Source organism: Homo sapiens, chromosome 19 (genome assembly GCF_000001405.40).
Source record: "Homo sapiens chromosome 19, GRCh38.p14 Primary Assembly".
Taxonomy (NCBI): Eukaryota; Metazoa; Chordata; class Mammalia; order Primates; family Hominidae; genus Homo; species Homo sapiens.
The window spans coordinates 29960944-29987276 of NC_000019.10; the positions used below are offsets into that span (position 1 = coordinate 29960944).

General features: G+C 35.2%; 1 protein-coding gene across 8 annotated transcripts in view, besides 1 other annotated feature; it reads left to right on the forward strand.

Moving 5' to 3' along the window:
* URI1 (URI1 prefoldin like chaperone) overlaps positions 1-26333 on the forward strand; it is a 92956-nt gene that overhangs the window by 37287 nt on the left and 29336 nt on the right. For 4 of the 8 annotated variants that reach the window (XM_005259362.3, NM_001252641.2, NM_003796.3 and 1 more), the window contains exons 2-4: positions 10250-10284; positions 24280-24358; positions 25339-25474. In XM_005259362.3, coding sequence (XP_005259419.1) covers positions 10250-10284; positions 24280-24358; positions 25339-25474 — 250 coding nt within the window. Of the gene's footprint in view, positions 1-10249; positions 10285-19215; positions 19308-24279; positions 24359-25338; positions 25475-26333 lie in introns of all 8 variants that reach the window. The other 4 variants (NR_045557.1, XM_011527435.3, XM_047439596.1 and 1 more) reach the window with 2 other exon arrangements.
* Positions 5836-6105: an enhancer, noted in NCBI's record as "active region_14424". NCBI's record gives its function as "activates an Ori minimal core promoter by ATAC-STARR-seq in GM12878 lymphoblastoid cells {active_cell/tissue: GM12878}" and the evidence as "EXISTENCE:reporter gene assay evidence [ECO:0000049][PMID:35858748]".

The window sequence follows — 26333 nt, forward strand, 5'->3', positions numbered from 1 at the left end:
CCTGAGCTCAAGTGATCCTGCCTGAGTCTCCTGAGTAGCTGGGACTACAGGTGCATGCCATTGGGCCTAGCTAATTAAAAAAAAAAATTTTTTTTTTTGTATAGACAGGGACTCACTATGTTGCCCAGGGTGGTCTCGAACTCCTGGCCTCAAGCGGTCGTCCTGCCTTGGCCTCTCAAAGTGCTGGGAAATAGGCATGAGCTACCATGACCAGCCCATTTTAATCATTTTTAAGTATACAGTTCAGTGGCATTGGGTATATTCACGTTGTTGATCAACCGTAATTACCATCCATCTCCAGGCCTTTTTTTTTTTTTTTTTTTAAATCTTGCAAAACTGAAACTCTGTTCATTAAACAATAACTCTCTATTCTTCCCCTTCCTGATCTGGCTGCCAGCATTCTATTATACTTTTTGTCTCTATGAATTTGATTACTCTAAGTACCTTTAAGTGGAATCATAGAGTATTTGTCCTTTTGTGATTGGGTTATTTCACTTACCATAATGTCTCAAGGTTCGTCCACGTTGTGGCACATATCAGAATTTCTTCCTTTTTAAGGCTGAATAATATTCCATTGTATTATAGAATGTATTATGCAGTGTATTATACGTTTTTGTTTATTTTAGCATCCATGGATACTTGGGTTGCCTCTACCTTATGGTGATTTTGAGTAATGCTGCTGTGAACATGGGTGTTTGGTTTAAGTATCTGCTTTTGATTCTTTTTTTTTTGTTTTTTTTTTTTTTTGTTGTTTGTTTTGAGATGGAGTTTCACTCTTGTTGCCCAGGCTGGAGTGCAATGGCACAATCTCGGCTCACTGCAACCTCTATCTCCTGGGTTCAAGTGATTCTCCTGCCTCAGCCTCCCAAGTAGCTGAGATTACAGGCATGCACCACCACCCCTGGCTAATTTTTTGTGTTTAGTAGAGTTGGGGTTTCACCATGTTGGTCAGGCTGGTCTCGAACTCCTGACCTCGGGTGATCCACCCACCTCGGCCTCCCAAAGTGCTGGGATTACAGGCGTGTGCCACTGCGCCCGGCTGCTTTCGATTCTTCTGGGTATGCTCAGAGGTGGAATTTCTGGATCATATGGTAATTCTGTGTTTAATTTTTAAGGAACTGCCACACTGCTTTCTCCGGTGACTGTACCATTTTACATTCCCGGACAAATTCACAAGGGTTCCAGTCCACATACTGGGCAACTTTTGGCATTTGCATTGGCTGTTTTTGTTTTCTGTAAGGACCATCCTCATTACTGGAGTGTCAAATGGTTCCCCATTATAGTTCTAATTGATGTACTTTTATGTTCTTTTTTCTCTGCTTTTTTTTTTTCCTTCCTTTGGATCAAACATTTTGTATTGTTATTTCCTCCTATTAACTTGTTTGTGATACATTATTTTTTACTACTTTTATACTGTACTTATGGTTTAGTACTAAATATAATATGTATTTATAGTATCTTTTTTTTTTTTTTTTTTTACAATTCCTTTTCACTAAGTAAGTCTCTGGTGTCTCTAGAGATCATAGCATTCATTCATTTATCCAGCCCACCTCTTGCATGATTGCTCCCATGCATTTTAATTCTACGTATTTTAAACACCACAACACTGTATTTAATTGTTCTGTGTGGTCAATATTGATTTATCTTTACCCATCTTTTTTTTTTTTTATCCTGTACCTTTACTCTTCAATTCTTTCTGCATTTATATTACTCTGAAGAGTCCTTTTTGTTGTTGTTGCTGTCTTTTTTTTAACCGATCACACTTATTTAATAACAATATCTAGTTTAATAATTTTTTTGATAAGACATTTTATTAACAACATGTCTAGTTTAATAAACCGTATTTCTTTTAATGAAAGTCTGCTGGTGCAGAATTCTGTTTCTGTTGAAAATGTTATTTTTTCCTTCATGTTGGAGGATCTATTTGCTGTGTATGTCACTATAGATTTTCAGTTATTTTTTCCAGCATTTCAAGATACTCTGTTATCTTTCACTTTCTGTCATTGATGTTGAAGTTAGCTCTAGCTCTAAGTCTTGTCACTCCTTTGAAGGCTGTGAATCTCCCCTGTGCCTCCTCCGCCTACCCCCAGCTGCACATAAAGTTTTCCCTTTTTCTTTGGTTTTCATCACTGTTAACTATGTTGTGCCTTGAAATTTTCTTTGTGCTTCTCTTGCTTGGGATTCTTGGAGTTTCTTCAGTCTATCGGCTGATACTTTGATATCAGTTTTAGAAAATCCAGAATTCAAGATCTTTTCAATATTGCTTCTGCTGCATTCTCTCTTCCCTTTCTGGATCTTGCACTTACACTGTGTTTCACATGTCTCTTATTGGTCTTTTCTGTATTTTCCATGTTTTATTTTTGAATCTCTGGGCTTTAATTTGGTGTTTTCTTTTGACCTGTCAAGTTCAAAAATCCTGATTTCTGCTGTTTAATCTTCTTTTAATGCCATTTATTTTAATTTTTGGTTCTTCAGTTGTACAATTTTCATTGGTTTCTTCCTGTAGATTTCAGTTCTCTAGTGAAAATTGCTATTTTTAAAATATATTCCTTTTATCTTTTCCTCTATTTCCTTGAACATATTAATCATTATGTTTGTTAACACCAGTATCTAGATTGCATGTGTGTTTGGTTCTGTTTTATATATTTTTTCTTTTGACTTTTGGTCATATGATCCTGTTTCTTGGCATCCTAGTTATTTTTGACTAAATCCTGGGATTGTGTCTTTAAAGATTGTAGATATTCCTGAAGGTGATAACTTCCTCTGGAAAAGGCGCGTCCTTTCTTCTACTGAAGCAGATGCAGTGGGAGCTGGTCACCTTACTCCGGGCAGGTGCTGGGTGGAGTGAAGGCCAGGTTGTTGTTTTAGTAAGCCATCTGCTGCTTCTGGTTTCTTCAGGCTTTCATCTGGAAGCTTGATTTTGCTCACTACACCATATTTCCTTGGAGGCTTCTGAACTAATTTTTGTTTGATCCTGAGCTCTGCTTTTCAGAGTTTTAGTTTATCTTTTTGGCCTTCGCAGCTCAGAATTTGACAGATACCATGGGAGGGAAAGCAGTTGTATGCTTAAGACCTCTCTTGTGCTCTCATTTTACTACCATATAGCCTTGTCAGACTGCGCAAGTTCTGCTTGTTTCTTTCTGCTAGCCATGGCTGTCTCCTCAGGGCCCAACATAATTCTCAGCCTCTTGCCTGTGCCTCCTGTTGTCTGAGAAAAAAGTGGCTTCAGATGATCAGCTCACTTCTCCACAGTTCTCCCCTCTCTGAATCCTTGGTCCCTCTTGTCCTCACTGCTTTGGCAGCTCTTGGGTGCCTTTAAAGAGATAATTTTTGTATTTATCTGTCTGTCTCTTCTACTTTCTGAGAGTTACAAGCTTTTTTTGTCCTACTTGGAGGTATTACGCAAGTCTAGACTGAGTTTTGAATTTACATAGCTACTTGCAGTGATTTAGTGTGATTTGAGATTTTTACTACAGTCTCACTGACAGTGGTGGTTTCTTTTGTTTTTGTTTTTTGTTTTGTTTTTTTTTTTTTTTTTGAGACGGAGTTTTGCTCTCGTTGCCCAGGCTGGAGTGCAATGGCGTGACCTTGGCTCACTGCAACCTCTGCTTTCCGGGTTTGATTTTCCTGCCTCAGCCTCCTGAGTAGCTGGGATTACAGGCGCCTGCCACAACGCCTGGCCAATTTTTTGTATTTTTCGTAGAGATAGGGCTTCACCATCTTGGCCAGGCTGATCTCAAACTCCTGATCTTAGGTGATCCACCTGTCTCGGCCTCCCAAAGTGCTGGGATTACAGGTGTGAGCCACCACACCCGGCCAGTGGTGTTTAAAATAAAAATGTACTTCTTTAATTAATGCTAAATAAGATTGCTTTAATTTGACTTTTTTGTTACCTGGGAGTATATTTTCCTGTTTTTTTTTTTTTTTCTTCTACTTGTATTTACTCTTCAGTGGACTGTTTGTTTCCTTTGAGCCTTTCACAGGCACATTCTCCTCCTAACCTGTGTGGCAAGTTTGCTACTCTAAAGTTTTCTTAGTTGCAAATCATACAGATGCTTAGGAAATTATGAAATAATTTACTGTAAGAAGTCAGGAGGGAGTCAAGGGTAGGAGTTTTTTGGGTCTCTGTGTTTTGTTTTCTTGTACATTTATGTTGTTTCCTGTACCAGCTGCTTTAGATGGTTGGTTAGCTTGTGCAGATCCTATAGTGGTCTTTCTTTTAGGACCAGAATCTGTAATCACCTCAGGCTCTGATGTCCAAAGTAAATGAGGTTGGTCCAGTTAGCAGCAGGTATCTATCCTCTCCCTTTATTGTGGCTACAGACGGAGAAATGGGATTCTTTACCCATTCTTTATGGGAGAAGGGCAGGGTTTCTACGAGGAAGGCATGTGAATGGAGAAGAAATGATTGATAATCTCTGATAAAACAGTGGGCATGCAAGGTGGAATTCAGGCAGTATTTCAGATTCAGAAATGTAGGTCACAATTTCTTATCTGCAGTTCGGAAGCCTGAAAAGCACTGAAAACACAGTTATTCTTAAGTTTATGGCATATTCATTGTTGACAAAACTGGAACTTATATGGGTGAGGCATTTATTACATTTTGAATATTCATATGTTTCATTGCAAATGTTATGTTTACTACATGGCCCTACCTCATGGAGCTTTCAGCCAGAACAGTTAGAGTTCCTGGATCTCTAGTTCAAGTCACCCCCAAAACCCTCCAAACATGTAAACGTCTTCATTCTTAGAAGTATTACTGAATGTATGTGTCACCACTCTTAAAATATTTCCAATAGGAGAAAACTGTAATAGAATACTTAAGATAGTGAGTAATGATTACTGAAAGAAAAAAAGAGCCCAGTTTGTAGGTAAAGCCAACAAGGGAGGGAGATGTATAGTGCCAGAGCACGTTAGACATAGTCCGATATTTGTGTAAAACGAGACTAGATTGGCATACAGGAAAAAATGCTTAGAAGCCTGTGTAGGAGGAATCTGGCTAAAACATAAAGGTAAAGATTAAGGAGACTTTTGATTCCATCTTAGCTAACATTTTAAATAAGAACATGTAAGTGTTTTCAGAAGTGGCTCCATATAATTGGACTTAGCTTTCATTAGCAGTTTTGCTTTGCAGCATATTTGGAACATAATTTGTTTAAAATTGAAATGGTTTTCTTTACTTTTATGGTGGTTGATTTATTTATTTATTTATTTATTTTTGGGGACAGGGTCTCTGTCTGTCTCCCAGGCTGGAGTGCAGTGGTGTGATCTCGGCTCACTGCAACCTCCACCTCCTTGGTTCAAGCAATTCAAGCTACCTGAGTAGCTGGAATTACAGGCATGCACCACCACACCTGGCTAATTTTTGTATTTTTGGTAGAGACGGGGTTTCACCATGTTGGCTAGGCTGGTCTGAACTCCTGGCATCATGTGATCTACTGGCCTGGGCCTCAAAGTGCTAAGATTACAGGCGTGAGCCACTCTGCTCAGGCTATGGTGGTTTTTATACAGCAACACTCAGTTTATTACAGTTTATCCCAGTGCTTATTGCATTTTTTTCTGTTAGGAACCTGTAGTCAATTCCTCCCTTATTTGCAAAGGGGTTTACTTAAAAGATTTGTAATTTTTGTAAATTTTGTTGAAAGTACACTATTTGTATACTTTGGTAATGATATTTATACATCTACTTGACAAATCTATCTTTTAAGAAATTATTTTCAGCTTTTAAGTAACTGTCACATAACATGTATGTCCAGTATCCATTGGCTTCAGCTCCCACTGATACTATTTTCTTTTTGACTCAGCAGCTTTAAAACCAAAATAGTAAGATCTGTCTTGAAGCCACAGTCTAGCAGGAGAAGCAAACTATATAAATTTAGACAGCTCTGATTAGCACAGTTCCCAAACTGTTATATTATGCATTAACCCATACAGGAAGAATTTAAAATTGCAGTATGGTGAGACAAGTTTTAGAAGTGAAGCATTTTTGAGAAAAGTATCAAAGATGAAGAAGTACTCTTGACCTTTTAGGCTTTCTGTTCCAGTCTAGTTTTAGTGTGGCATTGTATTTAACTTGCCTTAGAAACTCATAGGTTTATGCCCTCTTGTGGTCTGTCACCAATATAAATAGCACAAATGAAAATTTTAAGTACTGGAGATCTTACTGCATGTTACTGCTCTCCTTTATAAAATAATTTTTAAAAAGCAGCTTCTGAGGAACAACAGCTAAGAAATTATTATTCCTGTCTTCCATATAATGTGTGGAGCTTAAAAGTTACCAAATGTTATTTTAACCCTTGGTAACAAAATGTATGTGTATGTTAGGTGGACACTAATGAACAGAAAAATATTTTTGGATGGGCTGTCCATCATTGTCCTTCTAGGTGTCTAACCCTATTAATTTATAAGTGTCTTAAAAATATGATGAGGTGTGATAGTAATTGTAGGGCTAGCACATTACCCTTCTACCTTCACCTAAACATACACAGATATACTAGTAAATGATGCTTGGGAAATGTGTTTATACTTGTTTCATCTGAAAGGGTCAGGAGCTGTAGGAGGCATTGGAAGAAATAAGGATTATAATGTTAGTGAATTGGTGAACTTAAGCTTACAGAATTTGCTTTTACTGACATGATTGGCAAGGTCTTATTTGTGAGTGTGGGACTGAGGAACTAACTAGTGGAGGAGAAACAGCAATAGCAGTCAGTGTTTTAAGACTGCAGCTGTAACCAGTGTTTTTCTGCTGTTATCCAGTAAGCCGCATGATGGTTGGAAGCAGGCCAGTATAGGGACTGTGCACTTTAGGATTAGATAGAATCCCTGATAGAAAGACTTGGTTTTAAAACTGGTCTCATCTCTTACCAGTTCCTGGACAGTTGTGTAATATTAAGTAAGTTACTTCATCTCTGAATACAGGTTTCCTCTCCAAATAAAGATTTAAACCGCCTCCATTGAACTCTTTGCAGTTCGTTTTGTCACATGCAGTGTTGGCATATACTCCTGTTGTTATTGCTCATAGGTTAAAGACAGTTTTGTGTTGCAAAGAATGGATACCATATGACTTTGTAGCCACTGGGTTGTTGGTAAAGACTCCTAAATAGTGGTAAATCAGCTCATAGTTCTTTTTCTTTACTGTGGACTTACTGCTGTACTTCTATGTAGGTACATACTTTATTATAAATTCTTGAGTGTAAACGAGGTCATTATGTTAAAGAATTTACTAGTTCAGGTATTTTAAAGTTGAAGCCTAGTAACTATTTTTAAGAAAAATGAAAATAATACAATAAGTTTTTTTTCTTTAGGGGCACTATTTGCATGTTTTGGCAGGTTTAAAAAATAAACAAAAACTAGTTTTGTTCTTCCATTGTGGTCTTACTTTTGTGGAGGACAACAAAGTAATGAAATGTTTTTGTTTCTTTTGCTGTGTTTTTCAAGTGTTGCTTGTAGAACAAGGCTCGCTGCCTTATGGTTACTTTTAAAATTTAATACTTAAAGTAATTAATCTGAGTCCCCTTTCAGGAGAAATAAGATTATTTAGAATAATTTAACTTAAGGGAAAAATATTTGTTTTTATAACACCTTCTAAAATTTCTAAGTTGTAGAAATTTACTAATTTTTTCTTTTTTTTTTTTTTTTTTTTTTTTGAGATGGAGTCTCCTTCTGTTGTCCAGGCTGGAGTGCAGTGGCGCGATCTCGGCTCACTGCAAGCTCTGCCTCCCAGGTTCATGCCATTCTCCTACCTCAGCCTCCCGAGTAGCCAGGACTACAGGCACCTGCCACCATGCCCGGCCATTTTTTTGTATTTTTAGTAGAGATGGGGTTTCACTGTGTTAGCCAGGATGGTCTCGATCTCCTGACCTCGTGATCCACCCACCTCAGCCTCCCAAAGTGCTGGGATTACAGGCGTGAGCCACCGCGTCTGACCAAAATTTACTAATTTTTTCTTTTGAATAACTTGCTGTGAAATAGAAGACAACTAAAAAAAAAACCCTCTAAATATAATAGAACTGCTTGGGCTTAAATCTTTTCTGCAAGTAGGTGGACCATAAATCATATAAACAAAGATAACCTAGACATGCCATCAGAAGGCTAGTCTATATATTTTTATATCTACCTCTTTCATCTTTCCCCTTATTTCTGATTTCCCAAATGTCACTTCTTTAGTTTACATTTGGATAGTGCTTATTTGAAGTCTCTGATATTCTACACACTATATGTAACTAATAAAGACTTTAAAATGTAAGGCAGCATTTTGGTAGTGAAAATTTCTCTTGTACATTGTGAAATGGATTTTGTTGTTCGTCTATCTTCCTAGGGAGACTGTTTAAGGGAAGTAAAAGGAACAGGGCAAGAATGGCCGGAACGAAGTGGAGGGTAGACTATGGGGAGTGATGGCAAGAACACATGCCATTCTACCAGTGACTTGTTTCTTAAACATAAAAAGCATATGTGCCAAATTTGCATATTTACTAATTAAAAAGGCTTCCTGGAAACATTAGGTAGACTATCTTCTATAACCTTTAACACCGTCACTAATGGATATAGCTTAGAAGATTTCCTCGAAGGTCCTTTAAATAATGTAAATGATTATGAATGTGTAACTAGTTAATATGCAGCTACGAAAGGATTATCATGTAGAGGTTAATGAACATTCTGCTCTTATGGTTTGCAGGGCTTTGCTTTCTGTGCTTTTGGCTCTCTTCATGCTTGGAAACACATGCATTGGGATTGGAAAACATCCTGACTGTTCTTGGGTCTCATCTTTTAATGGGGTTGTTAAATAGGAACTTTATGAAAAGGATTTCATGAGCATTTTTTTCCTTTTTCAATTTACATTTAATTCTATTTGTCTATTTTGTAATTACTGCCAAATCAGAAACAGTGAAATGGATTGATGTAGTTTTAGCTTGGCTCTTCCAGATGTAAAGTCAGTACTCTATTATATATTGCCACTGTTATTAAGTGTTGCTATGTGATTGATACTTACTGAGAGATCTTCATTCTAAAATGGACTTTTTATGCTGAGTTAATGTGTAGTATGGTTGGGTTTCTGATTATAGCATGTATTTTGGTACAGAATTTCTGTCTTAGTATTTAAAATGTCCCAAAAGAGGACATTTATTTCAGGAATTAAATGTTACAATAGAGGAATTTAGTGACAGGTCTAAAAAAAATCGTGTGTATTTTTTTTTTTTTTTTTTTTTTTTTTTTGCTGGGACGGGATGGTGAAACATTGAGCATATACAAGAGACAATATTGGTATTTAGAGCAGTGAACTAGAGCAGCGTTTTGCAAACCAGATAATGCTGCTCTCTTTTTCTCATGGCCTAGTCTTAAGCATTTTGGCTTTCATCCCCTAGTTTCTCTGTCTCTAAAATGGTATATGGTATTCTAGACTGCTGTTTAAAATTTTTATTAATAGGTAATTTAAAAGTAGATAATTAGCAATCCTTGAAAACAGTGTTAATTCTTAAATTGTCATTCAAAAATAGTGTTATTTTTTTAAATTGCATTTTTCTTTATTGTCTAGTCTTCTTATTTTCTGAGCATTTTGAGAATCTACTGACATATCTCCAAGGAAAACAAATAACTTTTGTACTTAAATTCATTGTTTTAGTATTATAAACATAGTTTAAACTGGCTGTGAAGTGCTTACAGTCTTGATCATAATTCACTGGGGAACAAATGAGCTGTTCAGAGCATCTCCTTATCCCAAGTATTTCTTCTTGAAAATGTAGTAGAAAAATATCACTGAATTCATTTTTTAATGCGTCAGAATAAAAATTACAGGTGAAAATGTTTGGAGATATACTGACAAAATAAAATATTGTCACTACAGTCATTTTTTTTAACTGACGAAACGTGGATGTTACATTGGTTTCTTGTTATTTATAACATTTATGTATTCTACAAAATATGTAATATTGAAAACAGGTCTGTAGATTGTACAAAATACTAGTTATCTTATATCATATGTCACCTAATAGTTATGAAGCGGGTTTTGTACCAAAGTATGAATCAGAAAGCTGTAATTTGTTCTGCAGTTATCAGCCTGCATTAGAGGGTTATGATAAAGTGTGCTGCTTAAAAACTAACGTTCACATCTCTGTGCATTTGACAAATAAAAATGTATACTGAGATGCTATTAAATCTGTAAAGCCAATGTTCTAGTTTTCAGATACACTGATTTTTGTAGCTCTGTGCATAGCTCTGTTTTTTCATGAGTAGTTATCTGTTTTCATGACAGGTGGTCACTAACTGCCAAGAGAGAATCCAGCATTGGTGAGTGAAAGATGGTTTTATTACACTTCTGAAATACTGATGGGGTAACCTACTTGTGTTCAAATAATGTGTTTACTGTTTGCGTGTGTGTGTATGTATGACTAGTAATTGAATTCTTCTAGTAGTCTCCATTTTGAATGCCTTTAATACTAATTTATATTGTCTTTGACCCTTTTCTGAATTACACATTTCTGATTTCCTGACGTTGTGTTACCACTTGTATTTATTCTAAGTGCCTTTTCTTTTCTAAGAATAATATTAATATCATTATGAATTGGAGACTGAGACATTTTTGAATGTGACTTAGCTCTATTTTGGGGATATTTCTTACATTTTAGTAGAAAAATAATGGGAATCAGTTACTTTAAAATAATGATGGAAATAGGGCACAGAAATGTTTTCCCAAAGTTTGAAAAAAAAATCTAATTTTCTACTTTTCAGAGCTTGTTTTATTGACTGTACTTTTTTTTTTTTTAAGAGAGAGCATATCTATTTTAATGTGCTAATCTATAGTTAATAGGACCATGTTTGGTAAATAACACACTTTCCTTTGGCTTCTGAGGAAAATGCTCGATTTAATGGTGAATAAAATCTTATATTATGAGTTGTCATGAAGTATAGCTGTTGATCTTACAGATATCAAATTACAATATATCCATGCTGTGCTTACGAAGGTTTTACTGAGAGAACAACAGGAGCTGTCTTGATTATTGTCTGCAGGGTTATTGCAAAAATCATGGTAACTGCCCCTTTAGTGGTGAGATTAAACCTTCGGTTATACACCATCAAGCATATAATATTTTAAATTTATTTTAAGAGGCTTTTTCTTCATGCCTGAGAGATCTCCAAGGAAATAATTTATAGTTAGTGTATATCAAATGTTTTTTGGTTTAAATGCACATAGGCTGCAGGCAGTGGATAAGAGTGAAAATTGGTGCAATCTGTACACATCATCTTATTAAATTTTGACTATTGGCTTGCAGAAAATAATCTAAAACTAATAATATCCACTTTATAAGTAAAAATTCAGGACTTCATTAATTTTCAATAAATGCATCGTTGTAGTTGCTTCCACTGGTGGTGTAAGTGTGTTAGCATTTCCATAATGGACCATTCGCCTTTCATTATACATTCAGTTCAGGTTAAAACTTGAAATACAAGTCGTTGGCCAAAGAATTTTTTCCCCTGCACATTTAGTCAGAGTGGCCCATTTTACAAATAATTTCCAGAGGAAGTTTATTAACGTGGACTTCTGTCTATTGGTTTTGGTAAGAAGTTCAGGAAATTAGAAAGGTATTCACTGGAAATAGATGCTAGTTTACATAAATGGGTGAATGGTAACTTGCTTCTGGTTTGTTTTATAAGATTCTTATTAGAGTTCTTTAAGGATAAGGGCACGTTTTCATCCTTTTATTCACAGCCCCTACTGCTATGTTTGGCACAAAATAGGCACTTGATAAATGTTTGAGTAAATGACCAAATATGTGGTTATTTTCTATATAACATTTTAGTTTACAAATACTCTAGTAGTGCACAAGTCTAGTGAGCAGTGACAGAAATGTGACATTTACTTCATGGCAGGTTCATGTGACCCTCAATTTCACTTTTCAGTTTTGTAAAACCCTCTAAACTGTAGAAGCTTAGCATATTTGCCTACACATATCTTGAAGTAATATAGTACTTTATACATTTAAAAAATTATTTTTTTCCAGTTAAAATTTGCATTTTCCTCTGAATCATTTCTGGTTTGGTTCAGGAAACAGACTTTTCTCTTTGCTTTTAATGAAGATCTATACATGGTATATTGCTCAAATCTGAATGGCCAGTAAATTAATCAATTCATTATATCAAAAAATTGAAACCAAAGTGTCACCATTTCCCTGAAAGCAAGGAAATTGCTGTTTGGGAGAGTCGTGGAATTCTTGTGATATTTTTGCATTCTCTTAATTCCTCAAACAATAGTTGAGTTTCTACCATATGCCAGTATTGTGCTGCTGTTTGGAATTGAAAGACCCTGCCATAGAAGAATTCATAGCCAGACATATAACAGGGAAATCACGATAATTTTGTGCTATTTGCGGAGATATGAAGCAACTACAGGAGTTCAGAGGCTGGAGCCGTTCTTAGGGTGTCTCACACACTACTTTTAAAAGCATGTTGCTTTAATTCCTACTTAACCCTTGGTATTAGCCTAGTCTAAAATATAATTTCTGTTAAGCCCCTATTCTTTATGAGTACGCACCAGTATAGTAAAGAAGAACAAAATATATGGTTTGAAAAATGCATTCTTATGCTGGTGATGTTTATGCTTGTTTGTATAATTTTTAAGGGATTCTTTAAGGAACAAGTATATGTATTCTAGGCTCAGAAATAATCTAAATTGGTTTTTGTTTAAAAAAAAATGTAGGACAGGGAGTAAAAATATTTATAGAAAAATAGGAGTGAAAATGGTCTGGGACCACAGGATCTACCCAAAAAAATCTTTGAGAAAATTAATTTAAATCCTAGAACTTTGGTGAACGAAGAAATTTATAATATTTGTTTAGTTAATAACAGATAAAAAGGAAAGATTCAAGCCTATTGGATGAGAATTTGTACATTATTTTAGAGCTAATAATAATGGTTTTCAGTTTAGTGAGGATTTAAAAAATGTTTTTGAATCAAACTTTTTTTCTTTATAATCCTTTTTAACTAACTCAGGAAATAAGGTATTATGAAATCCACACACTGTTACCTCCTTAAAGTATGAGGATACTTCCCACTGTTTGGTCCACTAGTGGCTGATTATTTTGTTTGTGGATTATTTGTAATTTTCTTTTTAATTCTTCCTTAAAGAGCATGGCATTTGGAGTCACAGACCTATATTTGAATCCTGTCATTTACTAGCGTTTTGACCTTGAACAATTATGCTCAGAGTCTCAGTTTTTTCTTGTAAAGTGATGATGATACTACTTAACTCACAGGGTTGTAGTGAAGATCAAATGAGATCATGTCTGTAGAACACCCTGCCCGGCACTCAATAAGTATTAATAGGAACCCATATACCTCTTTTGAAAATTTTAATTGTCAGACAAATAAAAAAAAAAGCCAGTGCTTTGTAAATATTCGTGAATATTTAGTGTTCATTCTGTTTTTTTGTCATGATGGAGAGAGAGTTGGGTTTCTGTGAATTACTGTTACAGCTTTACATTAATATTTTTAAATCACTTTTTGGTATGAAGAATTTCAAATGAAAGGTGATAGAGTAGTATAGTGAATCCTCATGTACTCATCAGTCGGCTTTGATAATCATCAACTCATGATTTTCTCTAAACTGTTCATTTCAACATCTTATCTTGCCATCTACTCCTACCTCCAATTTTTTTTTAACTTTTATTTTAGATTTGGGAGGTACATGTAGAGGTTTGTTGCAAAGGTGCATTGCATGATGCTGAGATTTGAGGTACAATTGAACCCATCACCCAGATAGCATAGTACCCAGTAGGCAGTTATTCAGCCCTTGCCCCTGCCCTTTCTCACCGCTCTTGTATTCCCCAGTGTTTATTTGTTCCCATCTTTATGTCCATGTGTCCCCAGTGGTTAGCTCCCACTTATAAGTGAGAATATACAGTATTTGGTTTTCTGTTTCTGCATTAGTTCGCTTAGGATAGTGGCCTCCTGCTGCATCCATGTTACTGCAAATATTTCTTCTTTTTTATGGGTGTGTAGTAGTCCATAGTATATATGTATCACATTTTTGTTATCCAGTTCACTGTTGATGGGCACTTGGATTGATTCCATGGCTTTGCTATTGTGATCATTGTGGTAGTGAACATACAGGTGCATGTATCTTTTTGGCAGAATGCTTTTTTTTTTTGGGTGGTCTGTATTCAGTAATGGATTGCTGGGTTGAATGGTTGTTCAGTTTAGTTCTTTCAGAAATCTCCAAACTGCTGTCCACAGTGGCTGGACATTCCCACTAACAGTGTAAAAGCATTCCTTTTCTTTGCAGTCCTGCCAACATCTGTTCTTTTTTGACTTTTTAATAAAAACTATTTTGCCTATCCCATCTCCAGTTTTGAAATGAATCTAAGCCGTATCATTCCATCTGGAAATATTTCAGTATATATCTTTAAGAGACAAGAAAGACTATATATTAACTTTTTAAGATTTAAATAAAAAATATTTAATGAGACAATACATTTACATGTTTCAAAATTTAGGAGGTATGAAAGGATGTAAATGATGTATAGGTTCCTCCTAACTTTGTCCCCTAATTCTCAGTTCTGTTTACTTTTTTTTTTTTTTTTTTTTTGAGATGGAGTCTCACTCTGTCATCCAGGCTAGAGTGCAATGGCATGGTTTCGGCTCACTGCAACTTCTGCCTCGCGGGTTCAAGCTATTCTCCTGACTCAGCCTCCGAAGTAGCTGAGATTACAGGCGCGTGCCGCCATGCCCAGCTAATTTTTTTAGTATTTTAGTAAAGACGGGGTTTCACCGTGTTGCCCAGGCTGGTCTCGAACTCCTGAGCTCAGGCAATGCACCCTCCTCCGCCTCCTAAAGTGCTAGGATTACAGGTGTGAGCCACCGCACCCGGCCCCTCAGTTCTGTTTTCTGGAAACAGCAGTTTTTTACCAATTTCTCATAAATCTTTTCAGAAATGGTTTGCATAATGTAAGTGTTTGTGTATGTATGTGTGTGTGTTGTGTGTGTGTATTCATCTACATGTTTATATACGGCTCCCATCCTTTTGGACAAAAATGAAATCAGATTGTACCTGTTCATTTAATACTATACCTACCCTGTATCATTAACTAACAGTTCCTCTTTACCTCATTCCATACATTTTGCTGTATGTCAGACATTTAACTTTTAGGATTACTAAATGAGACCTGGAACTATTTTTTTTTAAATAAATAATTGCTACATGACTGAGAGTATAGCTCTGAACTCAAAATATATCCTTGCTAAGATGATATATCTGTTATTTTACTGCTCCTTAGTAAAATTACTGCAAAACTTAGTGGCTTGAAACAACCACCATTTACTTGCACATGATTCAGTGGGTGTGCATATTAAGCTGGGCTCACCTGTGTGGTTCTTCTGCTAGTCTTGTGTGGGCTCACTGCTTTGGTTGCAGCCAGTTGGTGGCTGGGTCAGCTTTGTTGTCCAGAATGACCTCACCCTCAAGTCTGGTGGTTAGTGCTGTTGGTTGAGCCTCTGCCTCCATGTGCTCTTTTGTCCAGCTTACTTTCTATGGGCATCTCAGCAGCAAGAATGGAAGCTGCAAGGCCACGTTATGTTGGTCAAAGGAAGGGCCAGCGCAGATTCACAAGGTGGGAAGATAACACCCACCTGTTGAGAGGAGGCGTGAAAAAGAATTAATGGTCATTTTTAATGCACTGCAATGACTTTATTGAATAGGTCCTACACACACAAAAAGGAAGTCTCCGTCCTTTATGTTGACTGGTGAGAATGAAATGAAATAGTACATGTGATGCCTGGCAGTTCATCTTTATGTTAGGCATTACTTACAATCGTAAATCGTATGCATGTGAGTTGTAAAAAATTTATTGCCTTGCTTCCTTTATTTTAAAAGGATTTTTGGTAAAGGTATCTTTGAAATTACATGAAACAGACTTAAATATAGAAGAAGATACTTTGTTCAGGTGTTTAATTTTGGAAAGAATACTTTAAATTTAGACATAAAAGTTCTAAAACACTTTGGCATGTGAGTTTTGAGAGAGTCTAAAGCAAATACTCAACATTTTTTTATTTTTCAAAGGAAACTGGACAAAAATAATTGTTCAGAGGAAAAGAGTAACTAGCTTCCATTAGAATTTATAGTTAAAGTATATAGTAGGAAATAACCAAGAAAGCATACCTGTATAGCTAAAAATCTCAGGTGAAGATTTGATTTTCTCTCTCTCTTTTTTTTTTTTCCTGTTGGAGCTACTCTTTCCTATCAGTCGGGATGGAGATACCTGCTTTATGCACACATTGTATATCTGTCTATATGTCTCATGTTTTTGAGGCATTCCTTGTGCACAGAAGCACTGAACTATATCATTGTAACAATGCCATGGTTTACAGTATATTTCATATGAATACCTGAAACTGTTTTCTTGAGTTGCCTTCACATGCTATATAAAATTTATTTTATTATGTATAATATGTGAAATATTGATCTGCATACCTTTAAAACTTGTAAAAGCCAATGACTTTTTTCTACAGTGTTAGGTAGATTTGTAAACTGTGTTTTTCAGAGTCTGTATTTTACTGACTACAAAGTTTTCAGTCACTGTTTTGTAGAGGGCCTTCTGTTTGGGCTTTTTCTTTATGTTATTTTTTCTTTTTTTTTTTTTTTTTCCCTCCTCTTGAGCAGAGAGCAACTGCCAAACTTTCTGGAAATTTTGCATGTTTTTGTTGTTGGAGTTTCTGTAGTTGTTTATGAAAGTCTTAGGGATAAGGGGGAAGAATCATATATGTCAAATCTTGTCATTAAGTTTCTGCACAGTTTTAAAAAATGGTGTGAGTTAGTACATGCGCTAGTGATTAAGTGAGTTTGGAACTCGTGTGTAATGTTTCAAAGCAAATTAAGAGGCAAAAAAAAAGATTCAAGTTGAATGTTTAAAGAATTTTTTTTAAATCTGAGTTAGGTTTTTAAATGTTTATTCTGAATATAAAATGAATGCATGCTTAGTTATGGAAAAGTTGAAATAAGAAAGGAATAAAGATAAATTTACTCATAATTGTAAAGAGAAGCTAATTCTCTCCCTGTTTTTAAAACATTCCCTTTTATTCCCTCTAGCTTCTTAATTCTGTATGTGTATTTATGTGACTAAGGTCAAACTGTAAATGCATTTTTCTTTTCCTTCTCTTTTTAAAGAGTTAAATGATTTTTAACTTGTAATTAGAATTTATTACTTGTAGGAGTCCTCAAGCTTTTATATCATGTTTTTGGAAGCAACCAGCTAGTTTAACGCACTTCTGAAAATGAAAGGAAAACTTACATGTTATAGGAGAGTTTTTTTCCCCTGAAGAGTTTTAAACTATTATTAAAAAAAATCCCTAATCACATTTCATCACCTAGAATAGTCCTTGATGACGACGTGTTTCCAGTGTCAATATGGTTTGGTTCAGTTTCCCATGACCAGCTCAAGTCCAGTATCTGACTGAGGCAAAGGGCTTAGGGCTTACTGCTTTGGGCACACCTCATGATTTTTTATCTTTGTCTCAACTGTATTAGGTTTGAAAACTGTACTTCTTTGTACTTTTTTTTCATTTTCCATTTTTTTTTATGAAGAGTAACATCCAATAAAACTCTTAAGCACAGAGTCCTGTTTGAGGATGAAGATGTGAATATTGCAACAACCACAGTGCTTGTCTGAGAAGTGCATCACTTGGTGATAATCCTGAGTGCTTGTTCTTATTTTGAGAAATATAAGTCCAGATTCCACTATACCAAAGACAGATTGGGGTGGGTATCAGTGTAAGACCTGAGAGAAATGTAGGCTGTGAAAAATGGAGGCATGCCTATAATTTACTTTTTACTAATTCATATTGAACTCATGATCAAATTGGTGAGGGTTTTCACATTTTTCTTTTATTTTTAAGTCAGTTGATAATTTTGAGGTTTTTAAATATTTGGTAGGTTCAAAACCAGGATTGCCATTTTTCACTGTTGTAAAACCTCTTGAGAAACTTTAACCCGGAGGTATCTATGATTGGGCCTCTGCTGAAACTATATGTAAAATATGAGTTCTTTTCTCAGGGAAGAGCCTAGAGTTTTTCTAGTTTCTCATAGGGATCAGTGACCTAAAAGGGTTTTTTAATTGCTACTGTAATTAAGAAAACCCACAAAATTACTTTTTTCTAAAATATGCTTTAGAAAGAAAATATAGAAAGTGTAAAGTAGCAAAACCTATGAATTACGGTAAGATTTAAGTAGAAATTTGCACAAACTTTCAAAGCTTAAGTCAGCTATAAACTCATCACACCTTTTCTAAAAGGTCCTTTCCTTTGATTTGTAATAGGAATTTATATTAGTTATAGAAAATTTGGAAAATAAAAAGAACAAAAATTACATATAAACTCATCAGTAAAAATTAACTAGGCACTTTAGGATATTTCTTTCAAACGTAGATGAATGTGTTTTTACATAATTTTAAAGGTTTTTTGCTTTGAATTCACATCTCATTTTCTTAGAGCAAAAGATTAGTAATGAGTGAAGAAACAGGCACCTGTGATAACTGACAAGTCTTCAAACACATGTGTATGGTTGTTGTAGAGAGAACAGTAGAACAGATTTTTCTGTCCAGGCTTACTATATATATATATCCATTGCACTGTTTTCTCATTGTTGAAAAGTTAAATTGAAGAAATCTAGTAGAATGTTAGCTGCATCTCTCTTTAGATAATTTTGTTTCATTGACTTGAAAAATTATGTTTTTATATGCGGGTTAATCTTGGTATCTATGTCTAATAGTAAAGTTTTCTGATGGACTCATAAAATATAAAGAACATAGATTATTTCATCAGCATCTTCTGATGACATAAATTCCTTGGTATAATAGAGTTATAAAAAAGGAATATACCACCATTCTGCCTGAATTTTGTGGTACATTTCAGTTACTTATATCAATTGAAATTACTGAATATTTTGCCATGACCATTTAGAAAAAAAGTGTAATGCTATTGATTTAATTCAAGTACATTTAAATTTTCCATGAGGAGTGTTCCTTTTCCCACCAAATTGCATAAAGCATAACAGTATAGATCCCTTTTTCAAGAATTTTTAAATAAAATGTAACTTTTATCAATTTGTTTAGATTGTTTAAAAGGATACTTTGAAAAAAATCATTATTTCTTGCTTTAGTAACTGGAGGACATCTCTTTATCTATATAGAATCCATGCCCAAACTTAATATTCCTCTATTTTCTTGATTTTAGAGGTGAAAAGCCAGGCATCCTTCAAGCTAGTGGATCTTTGACAAAGATGCATTGCAAAACAATCAACAAACAATCAGAAAGGCATGCTATGTGTGAGTGATGATCCCTGCAGCATATGCCATAGGCTTGTTGTAGAGGAGCTGCTCAGTAAATGGTGGATTCAATTGAAACAAGTCTTTTTTGGATGCTTAATGGGAAGTTGTAGGGTGGGTATGATGGACTAAAAATTATTTCTAAAGAAGGTTATATATTGTATATATTCCAGAATCTTCCGTTTTTATCGTTTCTTAAATTAAAAAATAAAAATTTAACTCTGTCCCAGGTTAACTCAGATGTTAACACTTATATAGAAATTTTTTTCCTCTTTCCCCGTTAGGCATCTCACAGTATTTTCTGCTTGTCTGTTTAGGATGTTAGGTAGAGGAAAAGAGAGTGATAGAAGATTTTTTTTCTTAAAAAAAAAAAAAAAAAAAAAAAAAAACTGGGCCAGGCATGGTGGCTCACACCTGTAATCCCAGCACTCTGGGAGGCCGAAGCGGGTAGATCACAAGGTCAGGGTTCGAGACCAGCCTGACCAACATGGTGAAACCCCGTCTCTACTAAAAATACAAAAATTAGCCGGGTGCGGTGGCGCGTGCCTATAATCTCAGCTACTCAGGAGGCTGAGGCAGGAGAATCGCTTGAACCTGGGAGGTGGAGGTTGCAGTGAGCCGAGATCACGCCACGGCACTCCAGGCTGGGTGAAAGAGTGAGACTCCATCTCCAAAAAAAAAAAAAAAAAAAAAAGTTCAATGTTAGTATTTGCTGTCTATTTTAACTTCTTACTTTAAAGTAAAATTAGCAAAGTCTTATTGTTTCAACCTGATTTAAATTTTATCTCCCTTTTTTATTATTTAAAGGTTGGAGTCTTTATCACTGGCCTCAAAGGATGTAGACTTTTTTTTTTTAATAGAGATTTTTATTTTTGTCAGTCACTTTTAAGAGGATTAAAAATGTTGATCCCTTTCATATTTCCTCGTCCCTTTAAAAATATTCTATTATGACAAATTTCAAACATATGGAAGAGTGAATCTTGATCACCTATCTGTCTGTACCCTAATCCGTTAATCCATTTTTTTCTGATGAATTTCAAATTAAGTTGTGGACATCTGTGTATTTCACCCCTAAATACTTGAGCATATCCCTCATTTAACTTGATTTCTCTCTTACTTTCTACAATTTTATGCAAATGAGCTGTTTCCCATAGGTTCTGTCTTGATCTTAATCCTTTAAGGGTAAGGGCTAACTTGTGGTTGTGTTAATGGTCTTCATCGCTGCTGCCTATTTTTTTTTTTTAATTTCCTTAAAACAAAAGGTACTCTCAAAAGGCATATTGCACATGATTAGCAAGATTCAGAAGGAAGTGGTTAAAGTTTCTTACATGCCTTATACCTATGCTTTTAGTTCTTGTTTTGTATAAGGAATGTTGCATGAGGATATTGGAAAAAAATTTAAAATTAAGAGTTGAAGGCGGAACCTGATCTATAAGGATCCATTATGTTGAAGCCAAAGAAGCAGGTCTAGCTATTCTAAGTAAGTAGGCTGGAGAGGTGTTTCTTAACTCTATCTGGGTTTTGTTTTCCATTTGAAGAAAAATTATTTTAAGCAATTACCATTTTTGATTACTGTAATGACTCCTGTGTCCAAAAATTAATTACGTTTCTAATTATTAAAATAGAAAAAAAAATCTGTTCAAATTTTGTTATAAATAAAGACCCCAGACTTAACCTCAGTAATGCATTAGTTCTTAGCATAACTTTTGCATTTTCTGTTGCATAGGCTTTGTGATCTTTAACAGGATTATTTAAGCCTGAAATAATAGAGATACTATTTGGAGATCACTGTTTGACTAAGCCCTGAACATTTCCACGAATGTAGCCTTTAGAGAGAGAGGGTTCCTCAAGCTGTAGTTTCTTCCAGAGACATTGCTTGACTCCTCCTGGCCTCCCTTCATAAAGGATTTCTACATGGGCTGCATTTTAAGTGATCTTCTACTTTTGTATTTTTAGAAAATAATTCAAAATTTATAAATAGCAACTCTAATCTTAAACTGCTCTCCAGTATGTCCGCATTTTTATTCCAGAGAGAATTATTAATAAGTTGAAAACTGATTATATTTGACTTGAAATATTGACATTGATCTCTGGTATTGCCTGTTTTTGAACGTACTGTTCTTTTAATGTACAAAATAGATGTTTTTTGTGAGGAAGTTGTTTTTTTTTCTCCTAAGCATTGTTACCAAAATAAGACTTATTGAATGGTGACTTTAATACTAGCTTCTTAATATTCATAGAAATATTTAGATATCTAGGCTGGTGTATTTAGTCCTTGAGCATTTGCAGAATTACTTATCTGAAACATAAATAAGCTGTTAGTGTTATGTTATTAATAGTGAGTGTTGACTGTCTAGGCACTGTACCAGTCAGTCCTATGGAGACATTCTCCCATTGATTGCTCACACCAGTCCTGTTTCCAAAGCCCCTGAATGGTTACATTCAGCTGTACTGTCTTTCAGCAAGTTATACTATTTGTATCAAATTGGTTAGTGAAATCTTGTAGGTAATAGTCTTTCTTGAAAGTTTTGGAATTGATGTTTTTTGATGCTTCATGAAAAAAATGAGTTTTGAGTTTTGGAACCAAAATAGTAGTTGCTCCATGCTGGGCAGTGTGTTAGACCTTTTATATTTAATTCTGTTGAACCTGTGAGATAAGTATTAGTCCAATTTTGCCATTGAAGTTACTAAGACTAAGGTGAATTTGTGTAAATTGCATGTAGAGCTTGGGATTCACTCTCTGGTCTGACTTCAAAGCCATGTTCTTTCTGGTACATAGCCTTGTGCATGAAGTTTTTTTGCCATTTTATCCATATAAAAATTTTCCAGGAGGAGGATTTTTGCCTTAAACAAAAGAATAAAACATGTTTCGTATTTATTTATAGAAAAGGATTTTTTTTGGGGAAAGTTATAAAGCAGTTGCACACTAGAAAATGAGAAAGCTTTCATGAAGGAATGCAGGTCAGAAGACCTAGCTAGGTTAAACTCATTGCTTACCTCATCTTGATAGAGGAGATCTGGCTTCTTGCTATGTGGTTTTTCCATCTTCCTTCTACTTTGTCTTCTGTAAGAGAAAAATACTGATAAGTGACATTTATTATAGGTTATGTAAAATAATATATATGTGAAATTCCTTAAGATCTTAAGACTGAGCTAATTTTTTTTTATTAATTATGCTACTGTTGCTTCAGGGAACTAAGCAGTAAGCTGAAACCAATTCTGTGATGTTTGTCATTTATATTATCTGGAGAGTTGTTACCTACATTGCAGTTTATCCTGATTTCAATTTGACAATGTCTACATGTTCTTTTAAATTACTTGCTGAGTTGGTGAATTTTTGTTTCTGTTATTTTTAAAAACTGACAACATCCTTCTGCTTAAAAAAAATTCAGTGCTGTAGTTTTGCTTGCAGCCTGTATCTTAGCAGGGAACCCTTTGGAAACCCAGTCTCCAGAGAAAGTTTGACGGGCATCTTGGCATAGGCTGCTGCCTGGTATTACTCAAAAAGAAGGGCTGTTCATTTCCAGCAGGTGTTAAGAGCTGAGTAAGGCCCATAGCATGGAAATACGATCATCTCTGCCCCTACAGAGTTACATATACCTTTTGGTTGTTTGAAATTACTTATTTGGTAGCTCTGTTTGATGTAACAAGAAACAGACTCCTAGGCCAAATTGAAACGCCTTTTGTATTATCTCTACTTAATTTCTTCTACCCCCAGTTGATTCTCTCTTACCTTAATCACATTATTATGAATAATTGAAGAGCTGATGATGCATTTTTCAGCCTAAGGTTTTCTGATGAGGACTAAAGCATCTGATCAAATTTCATGTTCATGATTTCAACTTCACAGCCAGTATCTATTCACTCAAAAGCTTTATTAAATCTCTTCTTTCGGCCGGGTGTGGTGGCTCATGCCTGTAATCCCAGCACTTTGGGAGGCTGCGGTGGGGGGATCGCTTGAAGCCAGGAGTTCGAGACCAGCCTGGCCAACGTGGCGAAGAAACCTAATCTCTATGGAAGATACAAAAATTAGCTGGGCGTGGTGTCATGCGTCTGTAGTCTCAGCTACTCAGGAGGCTAAGGCAGGGGAATCACTTGAACCCAGGAGGTGGAGGTTGCAGTGAGCTGAGATTGTGCCACTGCACTCCAGCCTGGGCAACAGAGAGAGACTCTGTCTTAAAATAAATAAATCTCTTCTTTTTTCATCTTGAGTCCCTTCTTCTCTCCAAATATCAGGCCCTCTTTTACTGTCTCCCTTAATTTTCACATTTTATTTGGTCCAGATAGTCTTGTATCTTAAAAAACAGTAATTCTCAAAATTTGAGTATTCTGCTTCTAAATGCCAGAGTCCCTGAAGAGTCTTAATTCTTCAATAAATGTATGGTAGAATAATGCCATTGCTAAACTGTATAAAAACAGGATTTTAAAACTAAAAATAAAACCACATTAATCTTGAATTTGCTAAAATTATGTTTTTGATTAGCTTGTTTTATGATACCTGGCCTACTGGGCCTCCCAAATTGCTGGGATTACAGGCGTGAGCCACCACACACGACTGAAAGAAGAGATTTAATAAAGCTTTTGAGTGAGGCCAGGTGCAGTGGCTCACGCCTGTAACTCTAGCACTTCAGGAGGCTGAAGTGGGAGGATCATGAGGTCAGGAGTTCAAGACCAGCCTGACCAACATGGTGAAACCTCCTCTCTACTGAAAATACAAAAACTAGCCTTGCATGGTGGCGCACACTTGTAATCCCAGCTACTCAGGAGGCTGAGGCAGGAGAATTGCTTGAACCCGGGAGGTGGAGGGTGCAGTGAGCCGAGATCACGCCACTGCACTTTAGCCTGGGCGACGGAGCGACACTCTGTCTCAAAAAAAAAAAAAAAAAAAAAAAAAAAAAAAAAAAAAAAAAAAAAAAAAAAAAAAAAAGAAAAATCGTTAATAATGTGTGTATTTGGTGTTTTCTGTCAACAGGAAGAAGGTAGATAATGACTATAATGCCCTTCGAGAAAGACTCAGCACCTTGCCTGATAAATTGTCTTATAATATAATGGTATGTTTGGTGTGTTTCTTTTAAAGTAATAGTTGTTTCTTGTAAACATATTAACTATGTGTCGGTTCACAGAATGTCAGGCTGATGGACTGTGTCCAAGGTAACTATGTAGCAAGGAAGATTTGTTTTGTTTTACTTTATAAGAACACAGTAATTGTAGTAATTGTTGGTATTTACCTTTTTTTTTCAGAATATATATGGTGACACAAATGACATAAATATTAGCACAAAATTGGACATATTTCAAATGGAAACTTACTATATAAAAAATGTAATTATGACAGAAATATGGTACTAAGTCGTTTCTTGTTAGCCAGAGCAGGAATAGGCCATAATGTTTTGTAATTCACAGAATTAAACCTTAGGACATTGATTTTTATATAAAAACGTGCTGCTAATTTTTGTTTTAATGATCTTCACATCGACATAGTGATCTGTTCATGAGCCCTGGATTAGAGCCTTTCATTGCATGAATGTTCTTTCTTATGAAGACTTTGTTCTTTTATACTAGTCCAAGTATTTTGTATATATAGCTAGATAGATCCATTAAAGCTATTTGTTTACTAATTCCTGCTTTGCAAAAGTGTCTACTTTATTGAAAATAATTTTTAGTTTTCTTTATCAAAAGTATTTTGCATTGACAATGTTTCACTACTAGTTGCTTTCACTTAGATTTGCAAGTGAATGAAAAGTATAAACATGCCGAGACAGTACTACTTTCTTTAAGAGCTATATGTAAATATGGTGTGGATTTATTTTCCTGTTTTAACATTGATTTATGAACATAAAGCAATTTTCTTTAGATTTTCCTAGTAAAATTTTAATATAGTGTTGAATTTCTGTGAAGCTGGCATTTTATTTTTCCCAATGTATAAATAAAAAAATTCAGTTATGTAAGGCTTTTAATGCGAAGTGTTTTATAAAATGTACTTTTCAGTGTTTTATGTTTTTTCCCTTTTTTCTTTTTTTTTAAACAATAGGTACCATTTGGCCCTTTTGCCTTCATGCCAGGAAAACTTGTCCATACTAATGAAGTCACTGTTTTACTGGGGGACAACTGGTTTGCAAAGTGCTCAGCAAAGCAGGCTGTAGGTTTAGTTGAGCACCGGAAAGAACGTAGGTACCCATTTTAAATGATGTTTCTTTGTTGTATATGTATCCATTCACAGATTGCCAAGCTGAAGGGCTGTTTCTTACCAAAAGTACCTTCCGTGATCTATGAATCCAGGCTGTTTGTGATTCTGTTGAATTGTAGGTAGTTTGAGTAGAACCAACATTTGAGAATGAGCTGGAGAATGGAGCATCCGGGTTGGAAATGTCACCTACATTGGCATGTTTTCAGAAGTTACAAAGTTTCAAAGTCATTATGTGATTTTGTAGTTAGAAGTTGGGAAGACATAAAAATTGGAGTCATTTTATACCTTATAATTTTTTTTTAGTTGCTATTATAGACTTATTTTTGCACTTAATACTTTAGTACACAGAAATAATGTGTTTTCTCCTTAGTGAACTAAGAGAAATACCTGTTTACATAAGTAGACAATTCTTAAAAATGCTTTTTGGTTTGGAAAAAAAACCATATTTTCATTTGATAGAGGAGACCAGGTGTGAAAAGGTGCTACCTAAAACAGCACCCTTATCCTTTTTCAGTTGTTTGAGTTCTCTGCATCCCTTTATTAGGGCAGCTCTTGAGTTTTGTTTATCCGTGCTATTATCTGTAGGTGTATAGAAGCCTACATACACACACACAACACACACTACACATTTTGCAGTTGGATGAGCTAGCTTGGGTTCTAGCTTAGTTATATTTTAAAATTAGGTTCAGTTTATAATCTGTTGTTATTTCTGTAATACGTATTTAGATTGAGAGTATAATATCCGCCCTACCTGCTTTTTAACCTTTTAGTTAAATGTGTATTTGAAAATAAATGATGGGAAGATCCTTTTTTATAAATAAGGTCATACTAAACAGAAA